This window comes from Homo sapiens, chromosome 10, assembly GCF_000001405.40.
Source record: "Homo sapiens chromosome 10, GRCh38.p14 Primary Assembly".
Classification (NCBI taxonomy): domain Eukaryota; kingdom Metazoa; phylum Chordata; class Mammalia; order Primates; family Hominidae; genus Homo; species Homo sapiens.
Window position 1 is genome coordinate 126437260 of NC_000010.11, and position 12006 is coordinate 126449265.

General features: G+C 37.7%; 1 protein-coding gene and 1 long non-coding RNA gene across 15 annotated transcripts in view, besides 3 other annotated features; one reads left to right on the top strand and one right to left on the bottom strand.

The window, feature by feature from the left end:
- The window catches only part of C10orf90 (chromosome 10 open reading frame 90), a 245697-nt gene that overhangs the window by 12263 nt on the left and 221428 nt on the right, over nt 1–12006 (bottom strand). The window lies entirely within an intron of this gene.
- Nucleotides 1–12006, top strand: part of LOC728158 (uncharacterized) — a 35028-nt gene that overhangs the window by 11330 nt on the left and 11692 nt on the right. Inside the window, exons 4-5 of the long non-coding RNA NR_148989.1 lie at nt 796–1002; nt 2876–3066. This is a non-coding gene — a long non-coding RNA (uncharacterized LOC728158). The remainder of the gene's footprint in view (nt 1–795; nt 1003–2875; nt 3067–12006) is intronic.
- Nucleotides 2440–3639: an enhancer, noted in NCBI's record as "BRD4-independent group 4 enhancer chr10:128128268-128129467 (GRCh37/hg19 assembly coordinates)". NCBI's record gives its function as "activates an origin of replication core promoter dependent on BRD2, P300/CBP, MED14 and CDK7 cofactors, and independent of BRD4, by STARR-seq in HCT116 cells {active_cell/tissue: HCT116}" and the evidence as "EXISTENCE:reporter gene assay evidence [ECO:0000049][PMID:35650434]".
- Nucleotides 2575–3076: an enhancer, noted in NCBI's record as "H3K27ac hESC enhancer chr10:128128403-128128904 (GRCh37/hg19 assembly coordinates)". NCBI's record gives its function as "activates a minimal SCP1, AML or CMV promoter by ChIP-STARR-seq in naive H9 embryonic stem cells {active_cell/tissue: H9 hESC(naive)}" and the evidence as "EXISTENCE:reporter gene assay evidence [ECO:0000049][PMID:30033119]".
- Nucleotides 3077–3576: an enhancer, noted in NCBI's record as "H3K27ac hESC enhancer chr10:128128905-128129404 (GRCh37/hg19 assembly coordinates)". NCBI's record gives its function as "activates a minimal SCP1, AML or CMV promoter by ChIP-STARR-seq in naive and primed H9 embryonic stem cells {active_cell/tissue: H9 hESC(naive and primed)}" and the evidence as "EXISTENCE:reporter gene assay evidence [ECO:0000049][PMID:30033119]".

Below are 12006 nucleotides of genomic sequence, written 5' to 3' on the forward strand. Positions count from 1 at the left end.
GGGATTGTATTTTCACATAAATGTCAACATCTGTGTGGCTTCCAGTTACCTTCCAGTCCCTGAACCAGCTGCATCAACATCACCTGGAGACTTGTTACAAATGCAAATACTCAGTTCCTATACCAGGTCATCGAAATCAGAAATTCTGTGGCTAGGCCAGTGGTCAGTGGCTTCAGTAGCTTTCTGGGTGATTCTGACCCCTGCTTGGGTTTGAGGACCGCTGTTACCTTGATAGAATGTAGTAAGAGTGAGAAGGAAAAGAGTTAAATCCCTACATGGGTTTTGAGGCTTTGAGGAAGTATTGCCAGATAAAATAAAGACTACTCAGTTAAATTTGCCTTTCAGATCCACAACAAATATTTTGTAGCATAAATATGGGACATAAAGTAATGGGACATATGGTATTTGGGACACATTTATACTAAAAAAGCTTCATTATTTATGTGAAATGCAAATTTAACTGGGCATCCTATATTTTCATTAGATAAATCTGGTAACCCTACTTTGAATGTTTACAGAACCTCTCCATACCATGGCAACAAACAGGCCCCCAGCTGCAGGGTCCCTGAGGCTATAGTCTGAAGCAGCTGCATGTGAAGGCAATGCTGTGGAAGGCCAGCCTGTGTCCTTGTTATGCAGTTAGTTCTATGGCAGTTTATTGCTTCTTCCAGCTATTCTCTCATATAATTGGTATGGATGAGACTTCCCCCTTGATCTTATTTTCTGTGGTTATTTCACATTGTGACATCTGTGAAGACTTTCTAATGGGAATGTGACTGACTCCACTTTTTCCAGATGACTTTGTGCTGGGCACCAAGTGGCATTGTTACAGATGCCGGGGTACACACACGGAGACAGCTCCAGGCAAGGTGCATTGTTAGGCAAGCTTCCTGTGAGGCAAAGCTAGCCACAGATGGAAGCCTGCACCCAACCCTACTGCCCAGAGGAACCCCAGGACCCTCAGCCATCCCTTCCTGGAATTGCTCAACATAGAGGATGCAGGTAATGAGGGTAAGACCACTTTCTGACAGTGCCAGATTTCTATGGAAAATGGCAAATTGAAACTCCAGTTGGGGTTTCATTGGCAAAGCATTGCAGATTCCTAAAGTAATGTTTCCAAAGCAGACTATCAAGAATTAGATAAAAACATTTCAAGGTCCAAAAGGAAATTTAGGAAAAACAGGATTAAACAAATTTAAGGTGGCTTTTTTTTTCTGTAGGACTTATCAGTGCTTTTAACATACACTGAGCATTACACACTTCTAAAAGAATACAGTATACGACAAATAACATATTTTTCAAAGGAATCTGAAGGAACTGGTTCTCCTCTGGAATGCATTGTCGTTAGTATTTGGCTAGAGGAAACCAAGAAGAAAAATGAGATCAACTATAGGATATTAACAGCTATAACTAGTTCTCAGTTTTCAAAATTGTTTGTACCTGTTAATAGAATTTAATGTGTGTGTATATGTATACATGTGTGTATGTATGTTGTGTGTGTGTGTGTGTGTGTGTGTATCTGGCATACACAATCAGGCCACATGGCATCTCTTAAAAGTGTGTGTGTGTGCCATTACCAACATGGCAGTGGGAGTGCCGATGCCTGAGAACCTATACAACTGCTGCCCCAGACCCTGGAGTTGTGTTCCCTCCATATGTATCCATGCCCCAGACCCTGGAGTTGTGTTCCCTCCATATGTACCCATGCCCCAGACCCTGGTTTCATGGCCACTCCATTGGTACCATACATCGTACACCAATGTCAACATCACCATGAATGCGCCTATCAGCCAGACCCAGTTCAAGAGAAACCCCCTTGGCCATAACGTTCCTGGTGGTAGAAAAAGCAATCAGGAGGATCCCAGCAGCCTTTGCCATCAAAGACCCTAAGAACCCTTGCTGCTGCCGTAGACATCCACAGCCTTGGCCACTGAGGACGTCTGCAATATTGGCAATTGTCAACCTCAGCTGACAGCTATGCCTCTGCACCCTCACTAGACCTAGAACTGCCACACTCCACCCAATGTTCTCACACTCACCCAAAAAGGATGACTTTTTTCCCCCAATGAAACCAGTACTTAAAAGCTGGAAGAGGTGACTGCTCCATCAAATGTGCAGACATCATTGCAAGGCAAAACAAAACAGAAAAACAACAAGAAGGAAGCATAATACCAACAAAATAATGTGATAATTGTCCAGTAACTGACCCCAAAGAAATAGGACTCTATGCATCATCTGACAAAGAATTCAAAATAATTGTTTTAAGGAAGCTGATCCAACTATAAGAGAACACAGAAAAAAAATGACATCAGGAAAACAATATATGAATAAAATGAGAAGTTTAACAGAGAGATTGAAATAATTAAAAGGAACCAATTAGAAATTCTGAAACTGAAGGATATAACAAATGAAATTTAAAAGGAAGTAAAAGGCATTAACAGACAAATTAAGCAGAAGAAAGAGCCTGTGAATTCAAAGGCAGGTTATTTAAAAATATCTAGTCAAAGAAAAAAATTATGAAAATGAATGAAGAAAGCTTATGGGATTTATAGAACAGCATCAAAAGAGCTCACTTTTGCATTACAGAAGTTTAAGAAGGGCCAAGCAAAATACAGGGGTAGAGGTAGCAGCGGGAAAGGCCCTGGGAGCTCACTGAGTCCCCAAGCAGGCCATTCCTGCCAAGCATCACAGGAATCCTTTGGGAGGGCAGCCAGAGGTGCAGGGAAAATGCCACAGGGAGAAGGAAACCTCCAGCTGAACTTTGTAACAATTTGAACCAGTTAAGAAGCCTCCTGGCAGGAATTCAGGGGAGGGCATGAATCTTGCATGCAGACTCCACAGGCAGGGGAAGAACTAAAGCCCTTTTCTTTCACAGCTGGGCGGCAGGTAGCTTGGGGCAAGTTCTTAGCCCTGCTTGTCCACTGCCTGGAAACAGACTTGGTGCTATTACGGAGTGCAACCAGCCCTTTGGATTGCGTGGGAGCTGGGTGAGGCCTGTGACTGCTGGCTGTCCCCACTTCCCTGACAACCTGCATGACTCAGCAGAGGGAGCCATAATCCTCCTAGGTAAGTAACTCCATTGACCTGGGAACCTCATCCCCTATCCGCCACAGCAGCCGCAGCAAGACCTTCCAAAGAAGAGCCTGAGCTCAGACATGCCCAGCTCTGCCCCCAGCTGATGGTCCTTCCCTACCCACCCTGGTATCGAACACAAAGGGCATATATTCTTGGGAGTTCTAGGGCCCTGCCTACTGCCGGTTCCTCTCCATACTACCACAGCTGATGCTATCTAGAAAGTGCCACCTCCCAGCAGGAGGCCAACAAGCACAAAAATAGAGTATTAAACCACCAAAGCTAAGAACGCTCACAGAGTCCATTTCACTCCCCTGCCACCTTCACTGAAGCAGGTGCTGGTATCCATGGCTGAGAGACCCACAGACGGTTAACATCACAGGACTCTGTGCAGACAACCCCCAGTACCAGCCTGGAGCCTGGTAGACTTGCTGGGTGGCTGGACCCAGAAGAGAGATAACAATCACTACAGCTCAGCGCTCAGGAAGCCACATTCATAGGAAAAGGGGGAGAGTACTACATCAAGGGAACACCCTGTGGGACAGAAGAATCTGAACAACAGCCTTCAGCCCTAGACCTTCCCTCTGACAGAGCCTACCCACATGAAAAGGAACTCTGGTAATATGACAAAACATATTAGGCTCTTTAACATCCCCCAAAAATCACACTGGCTTACCAGCAATGGATCCAAACCAAGAATAAATACCTAATTTATCTGAAAAAAGAATTCAGGAGGTTAGTTATTAAGCTAATCAAGGAGGCACCAGAGAAAGGTGGAGCCCAGTGCAAGGAAACCCAAAAAATGATACAAGAAGTGAAGGGAGAAATATTCAAGGAAATAGAAAGCATAAAGAAAAAACAATCAACACTTCAGGAAACTTTGGACACACTTATAGAAATGCAAAATGCTCTGGAAAGTCTCAGCAATAGAATTGAACAAGTAGAAGAAAGAAATTCAGAGCTCAAAGACAAGGCATTGAATTAACCCAACCCAACAAAGACAAACAAATAAGAATAAAAAATATAAACAAAGCCTCCAAGAAGTCTGGGATTATGTTAAATTACTAAAACTAAGAATAATCAGCATTTCTGAGGAAGAAGAGAAATCTAAAAGTTTGGAAAACATATTGGGGGAATAATCGAGGAAAACTTCCCTGGCCTTGCTAGAGACCTAGACATCCAAGTGCAAGAAGCACAAAGAACTCCTGGGAAATTCATCTCAAAAAGATCATCGCCTAGGCACATTGTCATCAGGTTACCTGAAGTTAAGATGAAGGAAAGAATCTTAAGAGCTCCAAGACAAAAGCACCAGGTAAGTTATAAAGGAAAATTTATCAGATTAATAACAGATTTCTCAGCAGAAACCCTACAGCCTAGAAGGGATTGGGGCCCTATCTTCAGCCTCCTCAAATAAAACAATTATCAGCCAAGAATTTTGTATCAAGTGAAACTAAGTGTTATACATGAAGGAAAGATACAGTATTTTTCAGATAAACAAATGATGAGAGAATTTGCCACTACCAAGCCACCACTAAAAGAACTCTAAAAGTGCTCTAAATCATGAAACAAATCCTGGAAACACATCAAAACAGAACCTCTTTAAAGCATAAATCTCACAGGACCTATACAACAAAAATACAATTTTAAAAGCAAAAACAAAAAACAAAAAACCAAGGTACATAGGCAATAAACAGCACAATGAATAAAATGGTACCTCCCATCTCAATACTAATATTAAATGTAAATAGCCTAAATGCTCCACTTAAAAGATATAGAACTATAGAATGCATAAGAATTCACCAGCCAACCATCTGCTGCCTTCAAGAAACTCACCTAAGACATAAGGACTCACATAAACTTAAACTAAAGAGGTAGAAAAAGGCATTTCATGCAAATGGACACCAAAAGCAAGCAGGAGTAGCTATTCTTACATCAGACAAAACAAACTTTAAAGCAACAGCAGTTAAAAAAGACAAAGAGGGACATTACATGATGATAAAAGGCCTTATCCAATTTTAGGAAAATATCACAATCCTATACATATATACATCTAACACTGGAGCTCCCAAATTTACAAAACAATTACTAATAGACCTAAGAAATGAGACAGACAGCAACACAATAATAGTAGGGAACTTCAATATTTCATATATATATATATATATATATATATATATCTGTTAAGTCCATTTGTTCCAAGGTATAGTTTAAATCCATTGTTTCTTTGTTGACTTTCTGTCTTGATGACCTGTCTAGTGCTGTCAATGGAATATTGAAGTTCCCTACTATTATTGTGTGTGTGTATATATATATATATATATATATATATATATATATATATATATAGAACATTTCATCCAACAACCACAGAATACACATTCTATTTAACAGCACATGGAACTTTCTCCATGATAGACCATATGACAGGCTACAAAACAAACCTCAATAAATTTAAGACAATTGAAATTATATCAAGACTCTCTCAGACCACAGTGGAATAAAACTTGAAATCAACTCCGAAAGGAACCTTTAAAACCATGAAAATACATGGAAATTAAATTACCTGCTCCTGGATGAGCATTGGCTCAAAAACGAAATCAAGATGGAAATTAAAAAATTCATCAAACTAAATTACAATAGTGACATAACCTATCAAAACCTCTGGGATACAGCAAAGACAGTGCTAAGAGGAAAGTTCATAGCCCTGAATGCCTACATCAAAAAGACTGAAAGAGCACAAACTGACATTCTAACGTCGTCACACACCTCAAGGAACTAGAGAACCAAGAACAAATCAAACCCCAACCCAGCAGAAGGAAATAATCAAGATCAAAGCAGAACTAAATGAGATTGAAACACACACATACACAAATACAAAAGATAAAAGAAACAAAAAGCTGGTTTTTTAAAAGATAAATAAAATTGATAGACCATTAGCAAGACTAATCAAGAAAAGAGGAGAGAAAATCCAAATAACCTCAATAAGAAATGAAATGGGAGATATTACAACTGATACCACAGAAATACAAAAGATCATTCAAGGCTACAATGAACACCTTTACGTGTATAAACTAGAAAACACAGAAGAGATGGATAAATTCCTGGAAAAATACAACCCTCTTGGCTTAAATCAGGAAGAATTAGATACCCTGAACAGACCAATAACAAGCAGCAAGATTGAAACGGTAATTTAAAAATTACCAACACAGAAAGCCCAGGACCAGACGGATTCACAGATGAATTCTAGAGCAGAATTCTACTAGCCATTCAAAGAAGAATTGATATCAATCCTATTGACACTATTCCAGAAGATGGAGAAAAAGGAAACCCTCCCTAATTCATGAAGCCAGCATCACCTTAATACGAAAACCAGGAAAGGACATAACCAAAACAGAAAACTACAGACTGATATCCCTGATGAATACAGATGCTAAAATTATTAGCAAAATACTAGCTAACCAAATCCAACAACATATCAAAAAGATAAGCCACTATGATCATGTGGGTTTCACAACAGGGATGCAGGGATGGTTTAACATACACAAGTCAATAAATATAATACACCACCTAAACAGAATTAAAAACAAATGTCATACGATCATCTCAATAGAAGCAGAAAAAGCTTTTGGCAAAATCCAGCATCACTTTATGATTAAATCTCTCAGCAAAATCAGCATACAAGGGACATAACTCAATGTAATAAAAGCCACATATGAAAACCCACAGCCAACAAAATACTGAATGGGGAAAAGTTGAAAGCATTCCCTCTGAGAAATGGAAAAGAGAAGGATGCCCACGCTCACCACTCCTCTTCAACATAGTACTGGAAGTCCTAGCCAGAGCAATCAGACAAGAGAAAGAAATAAAGGACATCCAAATCAGTAAACAGGAGGTCAAACTGTCACTGTTTGCTGATGATAAGATCATTTACCTCAAAAACCCTAAAGATCCCTCCATAAAGCTCCTGAAATTGATAAAAGAATTCATCAAAGTTTCCAGATACAAGATTAATGTACACAAATCAGTAGCTCTCCTATACAACAAGAGCGACCAAGCAGAGAATCAAATCAAGAGCTCAACCCCTTTTACAATAGCTGCAAAAGAAGTAAAATACTTAGTAATATACCTAACAAACGAGATGAAAGACCTCTACAAGGAAAACTACAAACACTGCTGAAAGAAATCATAGATGACACAAACAAATGGAAATACATCCCATGCTCATGGATGGGTAAAATCAATATTGTGAAAATGACCACACTGCCAAAAGCAATCTACAAATTCAATGTAATCTCTATCAAAATACCACCATCATTCTTCACAGAATTAGAAAAAACAATTCTAAAATCCATGTGAAATCAAAAAAGAGCCCACATAGCCAAACCAAGACTAAGCAAAACAAATAAATCTGGAGGCATCACACTACCTGATTTCAAACTATACTATAAGGCCATAGTCACCAAAACAGCATGGTACTGGTATAAAAATAGGCACATAGAACAATGGAACAGAATAGAGAACCCAAAAATAAGCTCAAATACTTACAGCCACTGATCTTTGACAAAGCAAACAAAAACATAAAGTGGGGAAAGGATGCCTTTTTCAACAAATGGTGCTGGGATAATTGGCTAGCAACATGTAGAATGAAACTAGATCCTCATCTCTCACCTTAGACAAAAATCAACTCAAGATGGATTAAGGACTTAAATCTAAGACCTGAAACTGTAAATATTCTAGAAGATAACACTGGAAAAACCCTTCTAGACATTGGCTTAGGCAAGGATTTCATGACCAAGAACCCAAAAGCAAACACAATAAAAACAAAGACAAATAGTTGGGACTTAATTAAACTAAAGAGCTTTTGCATGACAAAAGGAACAGTCAGCAGAGTAAATAGACAAAACACAGAGTGGGAGAAAATCTTCACAATCTATACATCTGACAAAGGACAAATATCCAGAATCTACAATGAACTCAAATCAGCAAGTAAAAAACAAACAATCCCATCAAAAAGTGGGCTAAAGACATGATAGACAATTCTCAAAAGAAGATATACAAATGGCCAACAAACATATGAAAAAATGCTCAACATCACTAATGACCAGGGAAATGCAAATAAAAACCACAATGTGATACCACCTTACTTCTGCAAGAATGGCCATAATAAAAAAATCAAAAAACAGTAGATGTTGGCGTGGATGCAGTGATCAAGGAACACTTCTACACTGCTGGTAGGAATGTAAACCAGTACAGCCCCTATGAAAAACAGTGTAGAGATTCCTTAAAGATCTGAAAGTAGAACTATCGTTTGATTCAGCAATACCACCACTGGGTATTTACCCAGAGGAAAAGAAGTCATTATACAAAAAAGATACTTGCACATGCATGTTTATAGCAGCACAATTTGCAATTGCAAAATCATGGAACCAACCCAAATGCCCATCAATTAATGAGTAGATAAAGAAACTGTGGTGTATATATATATATATATATATACAATGGAATACTACTCAGCCATAAAAAGGAATGAATTAACAGCATTTGCAGTGACCTGGATGAAATTGGAGACTAATACTGTAACTGAAGTAACTTAGGAATGGAAAACCATGTGAGAGCTAAGCTATGAGGATGCAAAGCCATAAGAATTAAACAATGGGCTTTGGGGTCTCAGGGGGAAGAATGGGAGGGGGTCAAGGGGTGAAAGACTACAAATAGGGTACAGCATATACTGCTCGAGTGATGGGTACATCAAAATCTCACAAATCACCGCTAAAGTATGTACTCATGTAAGCAAACACCACTTGTACTCCAATAACCTGTGGAAAAATAAAATCTTTTTTTTTAAAGAAGTTTAAGAAGGAAAAGAGAAAGGGACAGAAAGCTTATTTAAAAATGTACCAAAAAGCTTTCCAAATCTGGGGAAGATATAAACGTCCAGATACAGGAACTCAAAGGTTTCTAATCATATTCAACCCAAAGAAGACTACACCAAGACATATCATAATCAAACTGTCACAAATCAAAGACAAAGAGAGAATCTTAAAAGCAGCAAAAGAAATTAAGATCCTCATATTCAAGGAAACCTCCATCAGGCTATCAGCTGATTTCTCAGCAGAAAGTTTTCAGGCCTGAAAAGAGTGGGATGATATATTCAAAGTGCTGGGGGGAAAAAAATCTGTCAACCAAAAATTCCTTACCTAACAAAGCTGCCCTTTGGAAATGAGAGATAAAGGCTTTGTCAAAAAAAACAAAAGCTAAGGGGTTCACCACCATTAACCTGCTTTACAAGAAATTCTGAAGAAGTTTTTCACACTAAAGCAAAAGGATACTAATTACTAACATCAAAACATACAAAAATATAAAACTTACTTGTAAAAGTAAGTACACAGTCAAATTCAGAATACTCTAATAGTGTAATGGTCAGATAAAAATCACTTATATCTCTAGTAGAAAGGTTAAGTGACAAAACTATTTAAAACACCTACAGCTACAATAATTTGTTAAGAAAAAAATATATAAAAATATGTAAACTGTAAAATCAAAAACATAAAATGTGAGGAGAGGAAGTAAAAGTACAGAATTTTGTGTAAAATCAAAATTAAGTTGTTATCAGCTTAAAATAGCCTGTTATAATTACAAGATGTTTTATGTATGCCTAATAGTAACCACAGTGTAAAAACCTATAGTGGATACACAGCAGACAAAAGAGAAATAAACCAAAGCATGCTACTACATCAAACCATCAAATCATAAAGGAAGACATCGACAAAGGAAGAAATGAACAAAGGATCTAAAAAACACACCAGAAAACAACAAAATGGCAGCAGTAATATCTTACCTATTAATAATTACCTTGACTGTAAATAGATTAAATTCTCCAATCAAAAAAGCATATATACTGAGTAGCTCAATGGGTTAAAAAAAAAAAAGACCTAATAATAATATGCTTCCTACAGGAGACTCACTTTAGCTTTAAGGACATAAATAGACAAAAAGTGAAGGGATAGAAAGGATATTCCCGATAAAAGAAAACCTAAAGAGAGCAGAGGTAGCTATAGCTATATCAGACAAAATAGACTTTAAGTCCAAAACTGTAAAAAGAGACAGAGTCATAATATAATGATAAAGGGGTCAATTCATCAAGTGGATATAACAATTACAAATATATATATACATCTAATATCAGAACACTTAAATATATAAAGCAAATAATAGATCTGAAGGGAGAGAGAGATAACAATACAATAGTAGTGGAAGGCTTCAGTATCTCACTTTCAGCAATGAACAGATCATCTTGAAGGAAATCAACAAGAAAACATTGGACTTAAACGATACATCCAAGCAAGTGGCTTTCACAGATATACACAGAGCATTCCATCTAACAGCAGCAGAATAAATATTCTTCTCAAGTGTACATAGAACATTCTTCAGAATAGATCATATGTTAGGCCAAAAAATAAGTCTTAATAAATTTAGATGATAGAAATCATATCAAGTATCTTTTCGTTGTTGTTGTTGTTGCTGCTTTTGTTTTGAGACAGAGTCTTGCTCTGTTTCCGGGTTGGAGTGGAGTGCAGTGGTGCAATCTTGGCTCAGTGCAACCTCCGCCTCCGGGGTTCAAGTGACTCTCCTGCCTCAGCCTCCCAAGCAGCTGGGACTACAGGAGCCTGCCACCATGCCTGGCTCTTTTTTTTTTTTTTTTTTTTTTTTTTGTATTTTTAGTAGAGACGGGGTTTCACTATGTTGGCCAGGATGGTATCGATCTCTTGACCTCATGATCCCCCTGCCTCGGCCTCCCAAAATGCTAGGATTACAGGCCTGAGCCACCGCACCCGGCCACATATCAAGTATCTTTTCTCATCACAATGGTATGAAACTACAGTAACAGGAGGAATTTTTGAAAATTCATAGATATGTGAAAATTACACAACATGCTCCTGAACAACCAATGGGTCAAGGAAGAAATCAAAAAAAGAAATTTAAAAATATCTCAAGATAAACAAAAATGGAAACACAATATGCTAAAACATATGGAATGCAGCAAAAACAGTTCTAAGCGTGAAGTTTATAGCAGTAAATGCCTACATTAAGAAAGAAGAAAGATCTCAAACAACCTACTGCTACACCTCAAGGGACTAATCAAGAACTAGAACTAGAAAAACAAGAACAAGCTAAGCCCAAAGTTGGTGGAAAGAAGGAAATAACAAAGTTCAGAGAAGAAATAAATGAAAGAGAGACTAGACAAGTAATAGAAAAGATCAACACAACTGAAAATTGTTTTTTTGAAAAGATAAACAAAATTGACAAATCTCTAGCTAGACTGAAGAGAGAAGACAAATCAAATGAAAATGAAAGAGGAGACATGAAAACTGATACCACAGAAATACAAAGAATTATAAGAGACTGAGACTACTAAGAATAATTATACACCTACAAATTGGATACTACTAGAAGAAGTGAATAAATTCCTAAGAATATACATCCTGCCAAGACTGAATTGTGGAGAAATAGAAAATCCTAACAGAGTCACAGTGAGTAAGGAAATTGAATCAGAAATTGTAAAATCTTCTTTTTAAAAGAAAAGCTTGGGACCAGATGGCTTCATGGCTGAATTCTACCAGATATTTAGGGAAGAATTAATACCATCCTTCTCAAACTCTTTCAAAAAAATTGAAGAGGAGGGAATACTTCCAAATTCATTTTATGAGGCCATCATTACTCTGACACCAAAGTCAGATAAGAACATTTTAAGAAAAAGGAAATTACAGACCAATACCCCTGATGAACATAGATGCAAAAATCCTCAACAAAATACTAGCAAACAAAATTCAATAGCAAATTAAAAGACTTATTCACCATGATCAAGTAGGATTTATGCCTGGGATGCAATGATGGTTCCGTATCAAAAATCAATAAATGTGCTTTGCCACATTA